Below are 22,250 nucleotides of genomic sequence, written 5' to 3'. Positions count from 1 at the left end.
GGTCCAAACTCCTGTGTATACGAGGTGCTTCCTAAACTGGACCTCAACTGCCTGTCGCTTCATCTGCTAACTCAACTCTTTAGCTACAGCCATGAGGAATCTGGCCACAAGCTGTGACCACTCTCACTTTCATATGTGCCACTTCCACTGCCTAGAACATCCTGGGCCCCCCAGTCTTTAACTCCTACTCATTCTTTAGGACTCAGCTCAGGCATCACATTTTTCAGGATCCACGAGGTATCCTTTTTTCCTCAATCTGTCAGAAATCCCTTTTCCATACTTTCACAGTGCTCAGTGCAATGCCTGCCTGCGTTCTTAGATTAGCTATTATTTACAAAGCACCTACCGCGATGTTCACTCTTCAAGTTTTATCTTATTTCCATATGAGAAAACGGGTTCAGTGAGATTGTTGTCCTACTAATTGGTCAAGTAGATAATGGACTTCAGGTCTGACTTCAAAGTAATAGTCTCCTATTATTCCAAAGTATCTCTCCAATATTTCCCACTGTGCACTGTAATTCTCTCCAAAAGAGCGAGAGCAATTAACTGGGCCCTCTGTTGCGTCTATATCCCCATGTGTGGTGCTTGACACTTGCTCAGTGTTTGCTCATCACAGGAAGACATGACAGGTGTGAACTAAGCAGAAGGAAACGGACTATGTCCCAAGCAGGTGCTCAATGAAGCCTTACTGAATGATTGTGTAAAGGAGATACTTTCTACCTTTTGGAAAGCGTATATTCATGTTGTGCCAACTAGTATCTAACAATAAACATGTTGTGGGTTCGAAATGCTCATCTGTAGGAATTCAAGTTCTCTACATTTGCATCTCCCCTTCAGCAGCATTCCCGACTGATGAGGATCGTGTCCACTGAAAGGCCACTCTCCTTATGGACAGTCGAGGGCTGAGTTTTTGTCCCTAACACCTCTGCACTTTCTCTTCTCCAGCTTTACACCTTCCTTATTCTACTAGGGCCTGAGCTGAGAAGATCGAAACTCACGGCAAGTCCCTAATATTTTCTAACTTCTGGCACATGTGAAGCCCTGGTGTTAAGAAACAGACTTAATTCTTCCCTGCACGGCTGTAGCCTCATTCAGGTCCTCCTCTCATCCTGTCGGTCATAAGCTTCACCGGCTCCCTCACAGCTTGCCCTGACGCGCAGAGATCCGTGCTTGTGCTAAGTGAAAACGCTTCTTAGCGTGTACGAAAGCGAGCGGTGGCCCCGTAAAACTTTTTTTTTTCCGACTCCAACATACCCTCCCCTGAAACTGATGAAAAAGCAAAATCCCGTTCACTCTATAGCAGGCCCCTTCCGATCAACGGTCCTCCAACCCCTCGAGCCTGAGAAGCCTGGCCCGCAAGCGCGGACCAAAGGCAGGCTGCCGGGGTAGGTGGGAGCGCGGGCGACGGAGGAGGCCAGTCTCCGGTTACCCCTCGCGCCCCTCACAGCCCGTGGCTTCATTCCCTCTCTCGCTGGTCCCTTACAGGGGTCGGATCAGCAGCTGGTCGCTCTCCTCAGCAGGAATCGCAGACATCCCGAAAGTGTGAGGGCGAAGCGGGGGTGAGGAACAGGTCGCCGGGGTCTTCCTAAATTGGAAGCACAGCCACCGGTAAATAAAAAAGGAAGAACCCCATTCACCAAGAGCACAACTTCCGTCACTCCGGAGCCCGCGGCACTAGACTCCTCCCCTCGACTTCCGGTCGGGGGACGCCGCTCGCGAGGCTTCCCACCACTTGGGGTCTTGGAACCGGGGGTAGGACGTCAGGACTGCGCCTGCGCATAGTCTTGGAGGCGCGGCCCGGCGGACGTGGGCAGGAGGGCTGGAAAAGCCGGCGCTGGAGCGGGAACGGGAGTAGCTGCCTGGGCGCCAAAGGCCGCGGCACTCCCACGCGGACCCCGAAGTCCGCAACCCGGGGATGGGCCCGCGGCTGCGAGGTGAGCGCCCAGCCCTCGTCCCGCTTGGGGCCGAGCTCGCGGAGGCCTGACGGGAACACGGTCCCGAGAGCGGCGCGGACGGCCAGGAAGGATGGGTGGGGCCGCGGGGCGGGCGGAGGAGGGATGCCTGGGCTCGGGCTTGGTTCCGGGCGGGGCCGCGCTCCCGGGGCGCGGGTGGAGGAGCTTGGAACCACGCAGATCGGGCGTGGGCTTGCGGACTGCAGCTTCCCGAGCCGCTGTCGCCCCGGAGGGGCGGCAAGGCGGGCGGCCGCGGGCCGTTTCCTTGCCTCTTCCTCTGCCCCGCTTCGGCCGCCTCCCGCCTCTCAGGGTCGGGGTTGTCTGTCCCCTTCGCTGTCACATCCTCCGCACCCAGCGCTTGGAAGGTGCTCCATCACGGTGACAGACAGGTGCCAAGCAGGCTGGCGTCTGGGAGGAACTTCGGAGCCGGCTCTCCCTAGGCCCCGAGCTTGGCCGCATCCGTCCTTACTCTGGTGACCCTGGGCAGGTCACTGACTCTTCGGGCGCTTTGGCATCCTCGTTTGAAAGGGGCTGTTATCCTGCAGCCTTGCTGGTCGGTGAGGGTGAGGGTGAGAGGGATCTGTGCACCTAGCACCGTGCATGGCACGTGGTAGGCGTTTGGTACATGGGAATCGCTGTTGGGGTGTCACCTCCCCAGAAAGTTCTCGGCTTCAGTAAGCGCGTCCCCTGCCAGGCGCCCTGGCAATGCAGAGGAGTCACCGAGCTCCGCCTTTGACCAGCGTGCAGCTGGGAGAGTGAGATCAGAGACCACAGCAGATCGTGGCGCTGTGATCAGGGGGTACACTCAAGCTGTGGGTCCCTTACCCCAGCCTTGAGATCCCAGGAAGGCCTGCAGCCTGAAACGGGCCTTGAAAGGTAAGAAGTAGCCAAGTGCCTGACAGGTGAAGGACGTCCCGGGCGGTGCAAAGCAGGGGCGCGTGGAGCATCGCGCTGAGAACCAGGAGCAGCTTTGCCTTGCTGAGATCAATGAACTGTGCCCGGGTTGTGGAGGATGGAAGTGGAAAGGTGATTAGGAGCTGGGTCCTGGAGGACCTGGCGTGTCGTGCTGAAGAACGTTGACTTTGGTCTCTGACTTTGGAGAACCAGTGAAAGATTTTCAGCAGGCTAGTGGCATTAGATTCATGTTTGAAAGAAATCATTTTAATCGTTTTGGCTGCAGTGTGGGGGTAGATTTAAAGTGTTAGGGAATCCAGTAGGACAAGGTCCCTTATCCACGAAATATCCTTGGGTTTGTGAATTCCTTAAATTCATGCCAAACTTTGTATGGATGTGCATTTTTATAGGGTGAGGATCCATCACATTCATCAGTTTCTAAAAAAATAGTGTCTGTGCCCATGGTTTAGGATGACGGGGGCCCTGGTGGAGAGCTGGCTCAGAGAGCTCTTCAGGTGGGGTATACAGTGGGTCTTGGTGCCAGATTGGATGTGGGGCCTGAAGGACAGCAAGGAAATCATGATTTTCTGGCTTCCTCCAGCAATAATAGAATCTCCTGACAGGGAGAGGAGAGGAGAGGAGCAGATCTGGAGGGGAGGATGATGGGTTCAGCTTGAGACATCTTTGCATTTGATGAGCCTGCGGAGCATCCAATCGCCAATCAGGATCATTGGCCTCATTTTGATGCATGAATAATTTTTTTTTTTTTTTTTTGAGACGGAGTCTCGCTCTTTCGTCCAGGCTGGAGTGCAGTGGCGCGATCTCGGCTCACTGCAAGCTCCGCCTCCCGGGTTCACGCCATTCTCCTGCCTCAGGCTCCTGAGTAGCTGGGACTACAGGCGCCCACCACCACGCACAGCCAATTTTTTGTATTTTTAGTAGAGACGGGGTTTCACCATGTTAGCCAGGATGGTCTCGATCTCCTGACCTCGTGATCCGCCCGACTTGGCCTCCCAAAGTGCTGGGATTACAGGCGTGAGCCACCCATGAATAATTTTGAGGCAAGAATGATTTGCTTGAGAACATGCATCAAAATTGCAGCAGATATCAAAGACTTTAATAAATGCTGCTTTTTCCTAAGCCGCTGGGTTGATGATGAAAAGAAAGCCTTAAGGAGTTGCTAAGGCATTGTCGTGTCATGATTTTCATATCAAGGGATTTGAGGAGACACTTCAGGATTCCACTGACAGTAGAATCACATTTTGTTTTTAAAATAAGTTTTGATTTAAAATTCAAATCATATTTAAAATTGTTACCTATATATAAATATGTATTTATATATACTTAAGTATCTGATGTTTAAATATGTTACACATCAACATTTTAACCCGTGAGCGCCATTAACATGGCACTTTATGCTGCTACGTTAACCTAGTTTCGTGCAGGCCTTGGAATAAGGCTCTCCTGCCATCTCTCACTGACAAGTGTCCTGTGCTGGTAAGGTTCCCCTTTGCAGCAATCACCCGCAGTCTTCTTCCAACACATCTCTCACTTTTTACCCTTATCCAGTGGAGTTAGTTCGCTATCTGGCAGCCAGGGTCATCGTTTAAAAAACAGAAGACACCTGATTGTGTCGCTAAACTGCTTTTTAAAAGCCTCCATTCCAGAAGATCACAGCAGATAAGCAAAAAATAAATAAAAAGCCTTCAGAGTATTCCTCTTAAACTAAAGTCCACTGTTACCGCGGCCTGCCTGGCCTTCTGTGGCACTTTGGGCCCATTGCTGTCCTCCTGCTCCCGGACAGCCTTGACTGTTCCCTCGGGCCCCTCTCCACCCGCACGGCATTGCCTCCAGGCTATTTATGGCTGCCCGCACTTCTTTCAGAAAAAGAGCTACAGCATCTTTTTCTGAAATACCCACCCCTTCCTTCCATTAGTCTGTGTCTCCTCAACTTGTGTTAGTTTTCCTCATAGCAGTGGTTTCCTAATAATATGTTTCATGTGTGTTTTTCTTGTTGGTCTGTCTACTCTCGCTAAGAACAGGCTCCCTGAGGTCAGGGGCTCTGTTTGGTTCACTGATGCATCCCCGACACCTGGTAGGTGCTCACTGACTATCCAGGAATGAATGAATAAATCAGATTTTCCTGGTACCCCACAAATAAAGCAAAAATATAGAAGTAAATTGGATGATGAGGCTGATTAAAAAGCTTGGGCTCAGTGGTCAGACTTGGGCAAGTGGCCTAATGTCGTCCCCTAGTAAGTGGACTTAGAGTGGGGTCTCCAAATACGGAGAATCTTTGGGTTGCAGCAGGAGCTTTCACTGACTGCTGCGTGAGTTGCTCGTTCTTTTTCCTTCATCAGGTGCGTAGTTTCTCTGAAAAGCATCACCCAGGTCAGAATGAAAGGAAACTCTCTGTGCAGACCGCTGTATGTGGGACCTTTGAAGACAGTCAAATAGTGTTCAATTCTATAGTAAGCAGATTTTCTTGTTCTCTCTGGAGAATACAGTTTTTGGTAAAAAATTGATCAGGTTATCTTATTCATAAATCGTCTTGAGAGGCAGGTCACAGTTCCCTCATCTGTAAAAGGCAGATTACAGCCCACCTTCTGTGAGCCCCTTGAGGGAGAGCTTAGAGCCCTGCAGAGTGTGTGGCATATGGTATGCCCTTAAAAAGCATCAGTAGAGCAAATGGATATGTCACAAGGTTATCATGAGGCTATGACAGTAGAACTGTCCCGGGAGTTCTGTGAGCTGTGCAGCTTCATGTAGGTTAGTTAATTTGCCAAGTATAGTATATGCTGTCCTTATGCAACTGGCAAGGATGAATCTTAGTTTCCAATGCATTTATTATTATTAATTTCAAAAAAAGAAATATGTAACACAGACTCTGGGAGGCAAGGTCATCTCCTTAACTACGCTTAATAGAGAGGGGAGGTGAGGTGCTGGCACCTGGGAATGTCTTTGTGTCAGCTTTTACTTAAAGGTATTTCAAAACTTCAAGAAAAATGCACATTTCTGAGAGGTGTGTATATCTTAGCCCTACCAAGTATAGAATGTGAAACTGAGAGGGTTACTGAATCTTAGTATCTCGACTGAAAAGCCAATGTGTCATAGTATATTTTGCTAAAATCTTGACTCAATTGAAGAGAAGTAAGGCCCTTAAAATTTTGAGAACTAGGTGACGTGTCTGAAAATTTTGAGAAAAGTGCTTTTCACACCTGTAGGACAAGAAGGTTTCTGCCTTTTTTGCTTATTGGGTTAACTTTCTATAATTTAATAGGAAAGAATGAAAAGGAATAGTATCCAAGGGAAAAGTTAATTGATGATTTTTATTTCTATTTTGCATAAAGTGATTTAATGTTGCATTTCCTGATGTAACTGTAACCAATATCAAAGTTGCTTTTCCTGGCTGGGCATGGTGGCTCACAGCTGTAATCCCAGCACTTTGGGAGGCCAAGGCGGGAGGATCGCCTGAGAGCAGGAGTTTGAGACCAGCCTGGCCAACATGGCAAGATCCTGTCTCTACAAAAAATGAAATTAGCTGGGTGTAGTGGCACATGCCTGTAGTCCCAGCTACTCGGGGAGGCTGAGGTGTGAGGTCAAGACTGCAGAGCCATGTTTGTGCCACTGCACTCCAGCCTGGGTAAGAGCAAGACTCTGTCTCTTAAAAAAAAAAAAAAAAAAGTTGCTTTTCCCGATGTAACTGTTACCAATATTTGTTTTTTCAGGGGATCTTCTCTGGATCAAGCAATGGTGGTGAAAAATGTTTCGCAAGGGCAAAAAACGACACAGTAGTAGCAGTTCCCAAAGTAGCGAAATCAGTACTAAGAGCAAGGTAGGGAAATGGAATTTGGAACAGAATCATAAAGCAGGGAGAGTTTTGTTTCTTCTAGCTGATATTGTATGGAGGATACTGACCGTGGGCAGATCTCCTGATAATCTTCAAACTAGTGTGTTTTAACATTTACTTTTTGCACTAGAGATGCATTCTATGCTTGGCTTCATTTTGTCTGTTCTGGTAGGTTTTCTGAAATTCTTAAATCCATTAAACTAGATGGGACATGACCTATGAATGGTTTCGTTGAAATAAGCACTGATTTAAAAAATTTTTAAATGATAGAAATTGCAGGCATTAAGGGGCTGGGCCTCTTGAATTCTAGGGTTTGTGGTGTGCATAATTACTTTTACTTAAGAGTGAGATTGGCAGATAGCTGTATACCAGAGAGTTTTTGAATGCTGTTGGAAGGTAAGCGTGGATTTAATTCATGCAAAACAAACCGTTGAGGAGCTATTCAACTGGCAACTTTTGTCTCAAGTAATAAAGTGATTTCATTTTGACTGACAGATAATTTTTCAATATAAGAGTATAAAGATAGCTGCATTATATTTGTTCTAGGTTTTTGACACCAATTTTGTTGGTGTTTAGAAGAATGGCAATTTTATTTCTACCTCCTGGACAATGGCACGTGAACACTCATTCATTCACCGAGTATTTGTTGAGCATGGCTGTGTGCCAAACTCTGTTTAAGGGGCATAAAATAGAGCAGTTAGGGAGAGGGAAGAAATTCCTGGCCTCAGAGCTTCCATTTCAGTTGGGGGAGAAAATAATGAATAAATAAGTAAAATATAGAGTTTCAGATGGTGGAAACTAACACGGGGGGAAGAAACTACAGGAATGGAGGGGGTGGGAGATTGGGAGAGGGGCAGTATTCAACAGTCTGGTAGAAAAGGTCTTATTTTCAGGCCGGGCACGGTGGCTCATGCCTGTAATCCCAGCACTTTGGGAGGCCAAGGCAGGCAGATCACCTGAGGTCAGGAGTTTGAGACCAACCTGGCCAACATGGTGAAACCCCATCTCTGCTAAAAATACAAAAATTAGCCTGGTGTGGTGGCACACACCTGTAGTCCCAGCTACTTGGGAGGCTGAGACAGGAGAGTTGCTTGAACCAGGAGTCGAAGGTTGCAGTGAGCTGAGATCACACCACTGGACTCCAGCCTGGGTGACAGAGCAAGATTCCGTCTCAAAAAAAAAAGAAAAGAAAAGGTCTTATTTATTTTTTTCTGCCCCTCCTCCCGAGAAAAGGCCTTGTTTTCTTGGTGGCATTTGAGCAGGGGCCTACAGGAGAAGTGGGGCCATGATAAGATCTGGAAGGATCGCAGTTTAGGGAGAGGAGAGAGCAAAGGCCCATGGGAGGAGTGAGCCTGTGTGTTTGGGGGACAGCAGGGAGACCAGCGTGGCCTGGGCGAGGCAGGTGCAGGTGTTGTGAAGACCTGGGCTTTTACTCTGAGAGTAAAGCAGGGGGCGCCTGGGGCCAGGGAGTGACAGAATATTATATAAGTTTTGTTGGGGGTCACTTTGGCCACTGTGAGCAGGGAAAGGGCAGGAGCAGAGAGACTGCCGGGGAGGATGTGGTAAGAACCTGAGAGATGATGGGGGCTTGGACGGGGTGTGAAGGAAGCGCTGAAACCTCAGGTTCTGCAGAGAGTTTGAGGTGGCACTCATGGGACCCATGGATCGATGATGATGGCTTGTGGAGTATGAGGAAAAGAGAGTTATCGAAGCTTAAACCCTTAACATACCAGGTGCTGTGGGAGGCAGAAAAAGTGATTCATTCCAGGTGTTTCTACCTGGATGCCAGATACCATTTGAGACATGATTGACACCCAGAGACAGTGAATAATTCAGAAAACATGAAGGTGCGTGAGGTAATGACAGATACTGCTTGAGGGATTCAGAGACTGGGGAGGTTGTAGGCCTAAAGTTGTGGAGGAAGTCGTATTAGTTGGAGTTCTCCAGAGAACCAGTAGGATGTGTTTATATCCTAGAGATTTTGATGTATTTTCAAGGTTTATTTTGAAGAATTGGCTGATGTGACTGTGGGGGCTGCAAGTCTGCAATCTGCAGGGCGGGCTGAAGACCCCTGGGAGTGGGAGTGGGAGTGGCAGCTTGAGCCCAAAGGCAGCCTGGAGGCAGCTGGAGGCAGACTCTTCTCCTTGGGAGCCTGAGTCATTTTCCTTTAAGGCCTTCACCTGCTTGGATGAGGCCCGCCCACACGGTGGAGGGTCCTCTGCTGTACTCCATGTCTGCTGGTGTAGACGTTAATCTCATTTAAAGAAACACCTTCACGGCAATGTCTAGACTTGTATTTGACCAAGTATCTGGGTACTTAGCCCAGAGAAGTTGATATATAAAATTAACCATCACAGAAGTCTTCCCAAAAAAAAGCAGGTAGTGAATGAGACCTTAAAATATACGGGTCAAATAGGCATAAATGAGGAAGGGGGTTAGACATCCCAGGCACAGGCAGGAAGCTGGAGGCTGAGTCGGGTCAATGAGTGAGTGAGTGGGATGGGATGGGATGCCGTGACTCAACAGCCTTTTCATGATTTTCCACCCTTGCGAATGCTCTAATTTTAAAGTTGTGTGTTCACTCAGTCCCAGGACCGGGGTGAGGCACAGCACAGAAGGAGGCGTCTCGCAGGGTCGCACAAGGCCCCCTCAGGAGATGCCTCCCTAGACCTTTCATCCCGGGTGCCTGCCGGGCCTCCCATGTGCCACATGTGCCACGCTGTTAAATAACAGCCACATGTGAATGAGACAAAGACACACGACTGCCACTCAGTTTCCAGTCAGGGCAGGGTAAGCTGGCTTATCTCAGCTGAGCTGGTGGCCTTGTAACCAGAAGCACAGAAAGCTGACATTGTAGGAGTCCTGTGCAGCCTTAGAATGGGGAAACGAACCATGTTCTTGGAAGTTTTTGAACTCCTGGAGCTGCTCAACACAGAACCTCCCTACTGCCACTTCCTCAGCCTTAAGCGTGGGGACCCTACAGGGAAATCTCATCTGTGTGGCCCAATGTCTTGTTTTATTTTTATTTTTGGAGACGGAGCCTCACTCTGTCGCCCAGGCTGGAGTGCAGTGGTGTGATCTCGGCTTACTGCAACCTCTGCCTGTGGGTTCAAGCGATTCTCCTGCCTCAGCCTGCCAAATAGCTGGGACTACAGGCATGTGCCACCAAGCCTGGCTAATTTTTGTATTGTTGTGTTTTTTTTTGTGTGTGTGTTTTTGTTTGTTTGTTTTGAGATGGAGTTTCACTCTTGTTGCCCAGGCTGGAGTGCAGTGGCGTGATCTTGGCTCACTGCAACCTCCACCTCCTGGGTTCAAGCTATTCTCCTGCCTCAGCCTCCCGAGTAGCTAGGATTATAAGTGCCCGCCACCATGCCCAGCTAATTTTTGTATTTTTGGTAGAGACGGGGTTTTACCATGTTGGCCAGGCTGGTCTCGAACTCCTGACCTCAGGTGATCCACCCACGTCAGCCTCCCAAAGTGCTGGGATTACAGGCGTGAGCCACCACACCCAGCCATATTTTTTTTTTTAAGTAGAGACGGGGTTTCACCATGTTGGCCAGGCTGGTTTCGAACTCCTGTCCTCAGGTGATCCACCCGCCTCAGCCTCCCAAAGTACTGAGATTACAGGTGTCAGCCACTGTGCCCGGCCAGAGACTATTATTTCTAAAGAAATTGGGAGTGTAGCTCTGAGGAACAACTCCCTTTACATGTGATTCTATTTTGCTCAACAGTTTTGTTGTTTTTTTGGTGGCAGTTCACATGATAGTCTGCTCTGTCCTGCCAGTTAGCCTCTGAATTCCTGCTGCAGGCCAGACACTAGTCAGAATAATTGCAGAAGCACTGGACCAGAGACCTAGAATTAGAGACCTAGGTTTGAGATTGGAGCCATTTACTAGATGTGACCTTGGATAAGTCACTAAAGTCTCAGTCTCCTTCCTCATTTAGTAAGCGGGGATCATGGTCCTTGCCTGGCTTTCTGCACAGGGTTTGTTTTGGGTTCAGTGGAACTCATGTGAAAGCAAGGCAGAGATGTTCGCAAGAATATTCATAGAAGGCATCTTGTAAGGAGGTGGCGGTAATGGCTTCGATTTAAATCGACTAAGAATATTGCCACCGCATTTATCCGATATTATGTCATGGGACGAACGAACAGTTGGGATTATGTGGTTTTTTTTTTGAAGTTTGTTACAGAATTTGTCTTAAGAAAAATCTGCACAGTCGATATGCCTGAATAATTGACATGGTTTTGTATGTGTCAGCTCAACTCTAATAAATGATGTGAATGGGTTAGAGGACTTTAGAGAAGACAGGGCTGCTTCAGTGGAGGTTTTTTACTTGTTTTTCTGTTTCTCAGTCTGTGGATTCTAGCCTTGGGGGTCTTTCACGATCCAGCACTGTGGCCAGCCTCGACACAGATTCCACCAAAAGCTCAGGTACATAAAAGGGTTGGATCATTGATTGTCTGCGCTTTTCATTGATGTTCACGTGGTTTTACTGGGGTAGCACAATGAGTTCTTCAGTATTTGTGGCTTTCTTCCTCTCCTTTGCCACTTTTGACAAGAGTTTAGAAGTGGACCAAGATTTGGCGGGACGTGGGCTGAGGGTGTGGTGTGATTGGGGGAAACCACATAGCCTTTGGAGATTGGCACAGGCACATGGGCAAAATGGAAGTTTCAAAATAGTTTTTTAAGAAATGGGGTGGCAATAAATACATACACCTACTATGTACCCACAAAAATTAAAAATAAAATGGAAAGAAATGGGGTGGCAGAAGATGAATTCCATTGGACTTATGTTGTCTATGGGGAATAGGGCAAATATCTTGGTGATTAAAGGGCTAAGGAGCCTTTCATTTACTCCAAGGAACCCAGAGATTCACCAGCTCATGACCACCACCAACACAAGTAATTAAGGGGAGGATCTGTCCCAGACCCTTGTAGATATTTATGCAGCTGCCCGAAATTAGTAGATCTTAGAAACAGGCTGGGTGCGTTGGCTCACGACTGTAATCCCAGCACTTCGGGGGTCCAAGGCAGGTGGATCACCTGAGGTCAGGAGTTTGAGACTAGCCTGGCCAACATGGTGAAACCCCATCTCTACTAAAAATACAAAAAATTAGCCGGGCGTGGTGGCGCATGCTTGTAATCCCAGCTACTTGGGAGGCTGAGGCAGGAGAATTGCTTGAAACCAGAGGCAGAGGTTGCAGTGAGCTGAGAATCGCACCACTGCACTCCAACCTGGGTGACAGAATAAGACTCCATCTCAAAAAAAAGAAAAAAAAAGAAATCAAGAGGTGGTTTCTAACCTTAGCTCCCTAAGTAGCTGGCGGCTAACTGGAAATATATTCATTTTCTTGTCTAAATTCCTCTTTCTCCCTTCAGGAACCTGTCCTAGTGAATCTGTAACAGAAAATGTTGGAGCATTAGGTCCATTGTCTTTCCTGCCAGATGCCTTTAAAATTATGAAAGTTGTGGACATCTTTTTGTTACATAACCTAAAAGTAATCATATAGTATTTCCTTAATATGGTTGAGGTTATAAGTCGTTTGTAGGAGTTTTTGTGTTGGCTGGATGTTGCGGCACACACAGCTCTTCAACCGTTGCTGTTACGTTAAGAGAATTTCTGCCTGGCATTATTCCATCGACATTAAAAAGACAAACTATGTGGTCTTTCTGATGGAACGATAGAGGAAGAGTAGGCTTCCTGAATGAGGAAAGCAAGCTAACATGGTAGGCCAGGCACAGTGGCTCATGCCTGTAATTCCAGCACTTTGGGAGGCCAAGATGGTAGGATCGCTTGAGCCCAGGAGTTCAAGACCAGCCTGGGCAACGTAGTGAGACCCTCTCTCTAAGGGGAAAAAAAATGGTGAAGAGGGAGAAAGAACCAAAAGTAAATACCATGCGTCATAAAGGTAATCATTATGTAGTAACCTTTTCTTTACTGTTTGTTTTGAAGGGAAGGTTAATATATTTATTCCTATTATTGAGACCTTTGTATACTATATTTAGTATACCATGAGTCACTGAGGAAAAGGTTAGTGAAATTTTAAGTTCTTCCCCATTACATAAAAATATTGTGTATTATAAAATTTGTAATTAGTGGTTATGTTCTAATGACAGTCTGGTTTTTATTTGGGAAGGGACTGAGGATACTCTGTAATGCAGATATTTCTTCTTAAGTCTTACCACTTTTCTTTCATCTTCAGGACAAAGCAACAATAATTCAGATACCTGTGCAGAATTTCGAATAAAATATGTTGGTGCCATTGAGAAACTGAAACTCTCCGAGGGAAAAGGCCTTGAAGGGCCATTAGACCTGATAAATTATATAGACGTTGCCCAGGTAAAAAAAAAAAATTCCGTAACTCTCTGGTTATGAGAGTCTGGGGAGCCAACTCATGGCTTTGGGGCAAAATGCTCACTCCTCGGGTCCACTGGGTGCCGCTCCGCTTGCTCTCGACTGAAGTCCCCGCATCACCACCGCACATGTGCGTGAGCGCTGAGCTGCATGGGAACACAGGCGCTGTTCCTCCCTTCAAACACGGTACTTTTTTTTTTTTTTTTTTTTTGAGACCAAGTTTCGCTTTTGTTGCCCAGGCTGGAGTACAGTGGTGCAATCTCGGCTCACTGTAATCTCCGCCTCCCGGCTTCAAGCAATTCTCCTGCCTCAGCCTCTCAAGTAGCTGGGATTACAGGCGCCCGCCACCATGCCCGGCTAATTTTGTATTTTCAGTAGAGACAGGGTTTTTCCATGTTGGTCAGGCTGGTCTTGAACTCCCGACCTCAGGTGATCTTCCCGCCTTGGCCTCCCAAAGTGCTGGTATTATAGGCGTGAGCCACTGTGGCCGGCCCACAGTACTTTTTAATACTTGTTTTTCTTTTTTTTTTTGAGATGGAGTCTCGGTCTGTCGCCCAGGCTGGAGTGCAGTGGTGCAATCTCGGCTCTCTGCAACCTCTGCCTTCCGGGTTTAAGCGATTCTCCTGCCTCAGCTTCCTGAGTAGCTGGGACTACAGGCGCATGCTGCCACGGCCCAGATAATTTTTTGTATTTTAGTAGAGATGGGGTTTCACTGTGTTGCCCAGGCTAGTTGTGAATTCCTGACCTCACCTGATCCACCTGCCTCGGCCTCCCAAAGCGCTGGGATTACAGGCCTGAGCCCTTGTGCCCGGCCTATTAATACTTTTTTATGGGGCTGATCAATCCTATTTAAATGAGGAGCTGGTTGCGGTGACTGGTTATATTCCATAGATTCTTCTTTTAAAATAATCTGGCAAAACCTTACCGTACCACCATCAGACCAGTTCTGTCTCTCAATAATCTAATTCATAATGATGTCCACCTAACATATCTGTTTATTCATGCAAGGTTTCCAACAAGAATTGAGATGAGGTGGGTTTCAAAAAGATAAAATCAAGAAGATAAAAAATCATCATCATGAAGGAAAATTAAGAATGAAAATTAAATCAAAAGTATAAGATATATAAACGTGAAATGTTATAAAATCTGTACCCTTGCCAATGGTGGAAGTACATGAGCCAAAAGAGTGAATTCGGTAATGAGAGAAAAAAAAAGAAAGTAAATTGCTTCTGGAGTTTCTAGAAAATGAAATTACATTTTTATGTGCGCATTAAAAGAGGGATATTAACTGCAATACCAAGATTCCTTAACTTCAGAGAGTGTTAAGAATGTGTACTCTCTTAAATCACAGAGAATGAGAATATGAAATACAGCGTGGCAGGGCATGGTGGCTCACGTCTGTAATCCCAGCATTTTGGGGGAGGCAGAGTAGGGGGATCACCTGAACCCAGGAGTTCAAAGCCAGCCTGGGCAACACAGTGAAACCTCATTTCTACAAAAAAAACAATTTTAATTGCTGAGTACAGTGGCTCATGCCTGTAATCCCAGCACTTTGGGAGGCCAAGGGGGGCAGATCACTTGAGGCCAAGAGTTCAAGACCAGCCTGGCCAATATGGCAAAACCCTGTCTCTACTAAAAATACAAAAATTAGCTGGGTGTGGTGGTGCATGCCTATAATCCCAGCTACTCGGGAGGCTGAGGTTGAACTGCTTGCTTGAACTCAGGAGGCAGAGGCTGCAGTGAGCCAAGATTGTGCCACTGCACTCCAGCCCTGGGTGACACAGTGAGACTGTCTCAAACAAAACAAAACACCAGCCTGGGCAAGACCCCCATCTCTACAAAACATTTTAAAAAATCAGCTGAGTGTGGTGTTATGCACTGGTAGTCCCAGATACTCAGAAGGCCAAGGCAGGGGGATTCCTTGAGCCCAGGAAGTCAAAGTTGCAGTGAGCCATCATTGTACCACTGCACTCCAGCCTGGGTGACAGAACAGTAAGACTGTCTCAAAAAAAACCTGAAATGAAGTTTCATATCTTTATGAAAGTAAAGGAAGATACTTCTGTCTGAAGGACATCAGTGAATCTAAATTGCCATTTAAGAGAGAACTCGGGCTGGGCGCGGTGGCTCAGGCCTATAATTCCAGCACTTTGGGAGGCCGAGGTGGGTGAATCATGAGGTCAGGAGATAGAGACCATCCTGGCTAACACGGTGAAACTCCATCTCTACTAAAAATACAAAAAAATTAGTTGGGTGTGGTGGCGCATGCCTGTAATCCCAGCTACTCGGGAGACTGAGGCAGGAGAATCGCTTGAACCCAGGAGGTGGAGGTTGCAGTGAGCCGAGATCGCGCCATTGCACTCCAGCCTGGGCAACAAGAGCAGAACTCCGTCTCAAAAAAAAAAAAAAAAAAAAGAACTCACGGTAGTTTGGACAAGTATAATTACTTTCCAGCATTTAGTTGGGAATATAAAGTCATTCCAACAAACTACATTAAGTCCTCACGTAACCTCATTGATTGGTTCTTGGAAAACCACCTAGATTAGTTCCTCCAAGTAACTCGTTTTTCAAGGTCATTTTGTTATAATGTTTTATGATGTTGATGAGAAAAAAAAATGGTTTTGTTATATGCGTGATTTCGCTTAAAGTTGTAGTTCCAAGAACGAGCCGCAACGTTCAGTGTGGTCTTAACCATAAAAGCTACAACCAGTCTAAGTGTTGTACTGAAAGATTAATAATTCTTCCCCTCAAAAATACACTAGCATTATTTTCATTCCTATAAGGACTACTAAATTTCTCATATCACCATAGAATTTTTGCTTGCTAAAATTCCAGTATTGACAATAGCTTGACTATTATCCCATACCGTGGTTCTTGGAATTGCTTTAAACCCACTGTGGGAAGCGATTGGCAAGCGGGTACTGTAACATTGTGAGGACCCAAGAAGTAAGGTATTGGGATGCAGCTTATTTACTGTAATGTCTTTAATGTGGGCGAGTGGTTCCACAAAACCATTGACAGTACAGAACATCCATAGGTTGCCAACAGCGTCTTACGTTAGGGAAGACGAAGTAGGTGGTATTCCGGTCTGGGAGCCGAGACCGGATCGTCCGCCAGGGAAGCTGTCAGGGATTATCTGCGGTTCCTGAGTAGCTGAAAACCCCAATTCATGTTTTTGTGAGTGGAGTAACTGCTCATCAGCAGCACTTGCCAGCCCGAAGCCCTGAGGCGTGGCATCACCAGACACGCCTTCCCATCTGGGCAGGATATGTGGGCTCTGCTTCCTGATCATCCCACACGCTAACACTGGTCTATGCTGTGGAAATGAAGATCTTCATTTTTCTCATGTAGGTATTTTAACATCAGCAGGTTTTGTGAGAAGCAGCTCAGTGTGTAATTAGGATTAACTCCAAGACAAACAATATGCATGAAAGGGATGGATGTGAATTTTGCTCAGAGTTGTGGGCTGTAAAAATGCGGCTGGGCACAGTGGCTCATGCCTGTAATGCCAGCACTTTGGGAGGCCAACTTGGGAGAGTTACCTGAGGCCAAGAAGAGTTCAAGACCAGCCTAAGGCAACATAGTGAGATCCCACCTCGATTTAAAAATAAATAAATTGGCCCACATGGTGGCTCATGCCTGTAATCCCTGCACTTTGGGAGGTTATGGTGGGTGGATCACTTAAGGTCAGGAGTTCGAGACCAGCCTGGCCAACATGATGAAACCCCATCTGTACTAAAAATACGAAAATTAGCCGGATGTGCTCACTTGAACCAAGGAGGCAGACGTTGCAACGAGCTGAGATCATGCCACTGCACTATAGCCTGGGCGACAGAGTGAGACTCTGTCTCAAAAATAAAAATAACCTTTTTGTAAATGGGGGGAAATGTTTCTTCTGCCTCTGGGAGAGAGACTCTTGCCTGGCTAATGTGTACCCCACATTCTTTAAAGGGTTTGGGCTTGCGATGGCCAGATACTCAAAGTGACTAGTCAGACTTAAGACTATTATGTAATTTTAATCTTTATCATGGAATTTATTTTTACTTTAAAGCAAGATGGAAAGTTGCCTTTTGTTCCTCCGGAGGAAGAATTTATTATGGGAGTTTCCAAGTATGGCATAAAAGTATCAACATCAGATCAATATGTAAGTAATATAATTTATTAAGAAAACTATGTTTTAGATAACAGGGAATTCAGGCCATTAAGAGCCCCCTTATAATTAGGGCCACTCCTGTTTGCAGAGTGATTGGTTTGTAAACATTCCTGGCAGTTGGTCTTAAACGTGACCAATTTCTTAAGGTGAATAGGGGCTTCCTTTTCTCTCCTGTGTTGGAAGGGCCCATGCAACCTGCCCCCCCCACCCCCAAACACACAGATGGCTCCGAATGCATTTTCAACTAAGGGCCCCTCATCAATTAAGAGCAGCTGTCAGCTTGGACGGTGGGCACAGACACTGGGATAGTCAGTTTAGATCACTGCACTCCTGGCTTGCTGGGATCTGAAGGCATTGCCCGAGACTGAGCATACAGGACATCCCTTGGGGTGAGAAACCTATGGATATGCTGTTTCAAGCCTCACTCTGCCTGGGAGGGTGTGTCATCAGGACTGACAAACATTTGAGAGTCCTGATCTCTCGGAATCTTTCCTGACTTCTGCAGGATGTTTTGCACAGGCATGCTCTCTACTTAATAATCCGGATGGTGTGTTACGATGACGGTCTGGGGGCGGGAAAAAGCTTACTGGCTCTGAAGACCACAGATGCAAGCAATGAGGAATACAGCCTGTGGGTTTATCAGTGCAACAGCCTGGTGAGACTTCGTTACTTTGGTTAGCTGCTTGCCCATCAAGTCGCAACACCCAGGGACTACTGTTTTTGAAGGCTGAAGAAATACAATCCATTATATATGGAATATCTTGGCCTGGGGATAGTGAATGAATATTAGGCCGGAGGTCAGCCGGCTGGCAAGACAGTGCAGGTTTGTGAAATATTTGTTAGGGCCAGTGGCAGCACTCGCTTGTGCCGGGATTTAAAAGGTAAACAAAGCAGCTGAGGAAAAATGTATCCTCCAGGGGCCGAAGGCTTCTTCCATTTCCGAACGTTGTTGCCCTCCTAGACTGCGTGATCAGCCTTTGCAGGCTGCAGTCGCTGTTTGCTTTCCTCTGAAGGAGGGCAGAAAGGGCCCACGTGCAGGGAAGCTCATAGTATGGGTTCCACTGACCCAGGCAGGCATGTGTGGTCGGCTTGCTTAGGAGAGGTCTTAAGAGGGTCAGGTGTGTGCCTCTGCTAGCCAAATTAAGTTCACGAAGAGACAGATGAATGTTGCTCTTACTCTATCTTTCATGTAATGTAGGAACAAGCACAAGCCATTTGCAAGGTTTTATCCACCGCTTTTGACTCTGTATTAACATCTGAGAAACCCTGAATCCTGCAATCAAGTAGAAGTCAACTTCATCTGAAAGTTCAGCTGTTTTCAAACTGCAATGCTGAAATGTTATGCAAATAATGAAGTTATCCCTTGCTCTAGATTTTCTGAAGAAAATGGATTGTGTAAAATGCTGATCATTTGTTTATTAAAATGTGTCCTATTACACAGTGAGTTAACTCTCAATGAAGTCATCTATTTTCTGGGCTAAAAAACTTCATTTGTCTTTTTCAACTTCTAATAAGCTTAACCTAAGTGTCACAGAAGCCTAGGTGTCACAGAGGTCCACTCAGTGACAAACACACACTGAAGGCCTGAGGAAGACGAGATGTCACAGAGGTCCACTCAGTGACAAACACACACTGAAGGCCTGAGGAAGACTAGATGTCACAGAGGTCCACTCAGTGACAAACACACACTGAAGGCCTGAGGAAGACGAGATGTCACAGAGGTCCACTCAGTGACAAACACACACTGAAGGCCTGAGGAAGACTAGATGTCACAGAGGTCCACTCAGTGACAAACACACACTGAAGGCCTGAGGAAGACGAGATGTCACAGAGGTCCACTCAGTGACAAACACACACTGAAGGCCTGAGGAAGACGAGATGTCACAGAGGTCCACTCAGTGACAAACACACACTGAAGGCCTGAGGAAGACTAGATGTCACAGAGGTCCACTCAGTGACAAACACACACTGAAGGCCTGAGGAAGACGAGATGTCACAGAGGTCCACTCAGTGACAAACACACACTGAAGGCCTGAGGAAGACGAGATGTCACAGAGGTCCACTCAGTGACACACACTGAAGGCCTGAGGAAGACTGAGGACATGGGCTCAGTGGTGGCTTCCCAGTCATGGTATCACTGGCATGGACCTCTGTCCGGCAGAGGTGTGGACTGGAGACCAGGATTCATGCTGGTCTGGAACAGTGACATTGCCAACTTAAGACACACAAAGCAGATTTTCAGAAGTGTCTGGTCAAGATAACATGCTGGCCAACCACAATTCCTAGAGTTAAGAGAACCTTAAAAGATTACCGCTCATGCTAAAAGTATGTAAAGATCCCATGTACAGTATGATAGTGTACTTTTTTTAAAGGACTGTCAATATACAAAACTTTAAAGATTAAAAACATTAAAAATAAAACCATGTCCATTTAAAAGTATTTTATTTTTTTCCAGTCAAATGACTAGTTAACAAGAAGAGTAAACTTATTAAACATGCTCTAATTATAAATCACTGCATTAAGGACAATGAAAATAATCAATTTCGGTTATACAATATATACAGTTGTGCTGCAACCAAAGTAATCAGGTGAATGAACTGAATATCATACATCTCAAAATAGCATCCTAAGCTGCATATTATGTTATCCACCCCTTAACAGATCACACAGTTACTCTTAGTCTGTGTACATGTTCTGAGCCATCATCCCAGATCTGATGGAGAATGGCATGCAAAATGCCAGAATCCTGCAGCTGCAGTTCATGAAACATAAACTTTAAATATAAATAGATATCTACAATGTTTTTCTTTCTCTTAGTTGCTTTTTTAATTTGCAAGGAGCAAATAACTAAGAAAGGATATTAGCAGGGTCGTTAATATAATTTCTCCTCTGGTAAGAGTACTATTAGTTACTGCACAATAGCACCAAATTGTAGACTGGAAAAATATTTCCTAGGTATTTATGTACCAGTGAACCTGACAGATTAGTTTGGGACTGGAGTTCTAATGTTGATATGAATCAACTTTATTCCTTATATAGCTGGCACCAGGTGGTCAAAAGGCTGACTATAAAATACAGATGCAGGAGGATTGTTAAAATAGACATAAGTGCACTGTGCAAAATACATCTGTTTACTTAAATCTATGAGAAAATTAAATGAAGGGTTCAAACAGAAATTAACAATTAGTGAAAACAGATGTAGTGCTTTAAAAAAAAACAAAAACAAAAAACTACAGATATAACACATTTTTACCCGGAACTTTGAAAGGTAAAAAGCGATTGCTATACAACATCATAAAACATTCCAGTTTGTTCTGTCTTCCTTTATAACAAAAACAAAAAGTACAATGCCAAAAAAAAAAAAAACTCTACACAGTCTTGCATAATAAAGACAAGCTGCTTCAATCAAATGCACCATCACAACAAATGCAGTTAACAGCATTGCTGCCTCACTTTCCAAGCCTATATGCAAATTTATTCCTTTACTTTTGTTAAAAGTCCAAGTGGGTATCATATGCCTATTTATTCTCAGAGTGCCAAAATTTCCAATATTCCTACTATGAATCTTACCCTCGCAATTACTAAATAGAGGTATGACAGTCAAGTTCATTAAACGAATGAGTTTTGGTTTTATAATAGACAACCTAATCCTCTACTACCACCCCAAGTAGCTTAAGAATGATATGATGGCCTGAAACAGTAAAAAGTGGGATGTTTGGGAGTATTACCTGGGACCTATATATTTCTGATATGTTCTTGATTATAAACAGATGGACAGATTCAATTTCAAGACAGTGTGACTACCATTCCTGTTGGAGTATTATAGAAATACAAGACACTAAACTGAGTAAACATTCTCCTGGGCTAGAAGGGAAGGCAGTGGTACACTCAGTAGGAAACAGCAAGTGATGTGTTAATACAGCATGGTCTGCGCCACAGAATTCTACTGTGTACAGTTGCTTTCTGTGTGACTCAGGAAGTTCAAGAAGGCAAATTCCAAAACACCTAAAGCATATAAACTAATTTAAAAGAACTGTTTTGCAATCCATCATCCTTAGTTTTTAACCAAATTCAGGAAATGCAGTTTTATATAACCTGGAACAGAATGAACTGTAGTTACCCTACGTTGTCATAAACCATCAGTAGTTTTGTTAAGTATGATTGTTCACAACAGGTTATACATACATGCAGAATATAATGATAGCTGCAACCTCACAAATTAGGGCTAGAAAGTACAATGCTAATGTGTAAATTTCCAAGTTGCTTTTTAAACACTGGGTGGATTTCAAAGGAATGTGTGTCTTTAAAGGTGAACTGATGGCATTTTATCGAGAAAGTTCAGAGCTGGGCTATGGACTTCTGAAGCAGCAGTTCACTGGCCGCCTAAAATAATAATTGTGATAAAGGTCACCAACTCCAGAACTGGGCCAAGGAATGCAGGAAGAATTTATTCATTAATGCAAACATTTTTAGGTTTAGCTAATTCCGTAGAGGCAGGATCTTGATTATGTATAATAGTTAAAATAACTTTTCAGTTCACCTGTTGGGAAATTCAGTTTTTCCTAATAAATGCATAGCAATGTTTCATGAAAACCACAAATTATAAAAACAATTACTGATATGTAAAAATTGCCTCTGAGTTTTTAAAACAGAGCAGTGGCATTAGAGAACATGGGCTGCCATACAAACAGTTCATGAAACTGGTTATCTGGCAAGAGTTTTGGTACCAATAACGAAACAGGAACATAACTGTTAATGCTTTTGTTCAGTAGCAATTCAGTCAGCGATAAAGTGCACAAATGACACCGGGAATGCGCCTTTGCGACCAGGATCTCCATCAATGTGGCCAATCTGAAATGGAGAAAAGTGTAGGTTGTTATTAAAATTCCAAATGTTGGTGGAAACTTTGAAGAGCATTACATAGAGCGTTTGGTGAAGAAAAGCAAGATTGGTTCAGAAGACTCTTCCGACAAGGAATTACTTAGGTAAAACATCCAAATGATTTTTGTCCGTTTTTCCTCACCACATTTCAAATAGTGCAGGCCTC

The 22,250-nt window shown here is 45.4% G+C and overlaps 3 protein-coding genes across 53 annotated transcripts in view, besides 5 other annotated features; 1 reads left to right on the top strand and 2 right to left on the bottom strand.

Moving 5' to 3' along the window:
* Positions 1-1,653, bottom strand: part of CPSF3 (cleavage and polyadenylation specific factor 3) — a 49,448-nt gene extending 47,795 nt beyond the window's left edge. For 2 of the 6 annotated variants that reach the window (NM_001321836.2, NM_001321833.2), the window contains exon 1: positions 1,255-1,653. Coding sequence is in view for 2 of the 6 variants with exons in the window: in NM_016207.4 (NP_057291.1) it covers positions 1,484-1,533 (50 nt within the window). In the remaining 4 variants the exon portion in view is untranslated. Of the gene's footprint in view, positions 1-346 lie in introns of all 6 variants that reach the window. The other 4 variants (NM_016207.4, NM_001321835.2, NM_001321834.2 and 1 more) reach the window with 3 other exon arrangements.
* Positions 1,417-1,466: an enhancer, noted in NCBI's record as "active region_15278". NCBI's record gives its function as "activates an Ori minimal core promoter by ATAC-STARR-seq in GM12878 lymphoblastoid cells {active_cell/tissue: GM12878}" and the evidence as "EXISTENCE:reporter gene assay evidence [ECO:0000049][PMID:35858748]".
* Positions 1,507-1,556: an enhancer, noted in NCBI's record as "active region_15277". NCBI's record gives its function as "activates an Ori minimal core promoter by ATAC-STARR-seq in GM12878 lymphoblastoid cells {active_cell/tissue: GM12878}" and the evidence as "EXISTENCE:reporter gene assay evidence [ECO:0000049][PMID:35858748]".
* On the top strand, positions 1,738-21,832 carry ITGB1BP1 (integrin subunit beta 1 binding protein 1). 27 transcript variants are annotated; one of them, NM_001369746.1, is made up of 8 exons: positions 1,738-1,934; positions 5,207-5,317; positions 6,575-6,681; positions 11,051-11,129; positions 12,902-13,038; positions 17,102-17,194; positions 17,709-17,858; positions 18,402-19,626. In NM_001369746.1, the coding sequence occupies exons 3-8, from the start codon at positions 6,610-6,612 to the stop codon at positions 18,471-18,473; spliced, it is 603 nt and encodes a 200-aa protein (NP_001356675.1). In that variant the 5' UTR covers positions 1,738-1,934; positions 5,207-5,317; positions 6,575-6,609; the 3' UTR covers positions 18,474-19,626. The 27 variants fall into 27 exon arrangements, 20 of the variants coding, with proteins under 20 accessions (NP_001356675.1, NP_001356678.1, NP_004754.1 ...); NM_001369749.2 differs by having other exon boundaries at positions 1,779-2,029; positions 18,402-21,832; NM_001369745.1 differs by lacking the exon at positions 1,738-1,934 and adding an exon at positions 2,131-2,341.
* Positions 1,987-2,286: a silencer, noted in NCBI's record as "silent region_11133". NCBI's record gives its function as "represses an Ori minimal core promoter by ATAC-STARR-seq in GM12878 lymphoblastoid cells {active_cell/tissue: GM12878}" and the evidence as "EXISTENCE:reporter gene assay evidence [ECO:0000049][PMID:35858748]".
* Positions 2,427-2,476: an enhancer, noted in NCBI's record as "active region_15276". NCBI's record gives its function as "activates an Ori minimal core promoter by ATAC-STARR-seq in GM12878 lymphoblastoid cells {active_cell/tissue: GM12878}" and the evidence as "EXISTENCE:reporter gene assay evidence [ECO:0000049][PMID:35858748]".
* Positions 2,470-3,328: an enhancer, noted in NCBI's record as "H3K27ac-H3K4me1 hESC enhancer chr2:9562108-9562966 (GRCh37/hg19 assembly coordinates)". NCBI's record gives its function as "activates a minimal SCP1, AML or CMV promoter by ChIP-STARR-seq in primed H9 embryonic stem cells {active_cell/tissue: H9 hESC(primed)}" and the evidence as "EXISTENCE:reporter gene assay evidence [ECO:0000049][PMID:30033119]".
* Positions 19,629-22,250, bottom strand: part of ASAP2 (ArfGAP with SH3 domain, ankyrin repeat and PH domain 2) — a 198,867-nt gene continuing 196,245 nt past the window's right edge. For all 20 annotated transcript variants that reach the window (XM_011510403.4, XM_011510407.3, XM_011510404.3 and 17 more), the window contains one exon: positions 19,629-22,054. In XM_011510403.4, coding sequence (XP_011508705.1) covers positions 21,980-22,054 — 75 coding nt within the window. In that variant the 3' untranslated portion in view covers positions 19,629-21,979. The remainder of the gene's footprint in view (positions 22,055-22,250) is intronic.

This window comes from Homo sapiens, chromosome 2 (genome assembly GCF_000001405.40).
Source record: "Homo sapiens chromosome 2, GRCh38.p14 Primary Assembly".
In the NCBI taxonomy this organism is placed as follows: domain Eukaryota; kingdom Metazoa; phylum Chordata; class Mammalia; order Primates; family Hominidae; genus Homo; species Homo sapiens.
The sequence above is the reverse complement of the archived record's forward strand: the minus strand, read 5'-3'. Positions and strand labels throughout refer to the sequence as shown.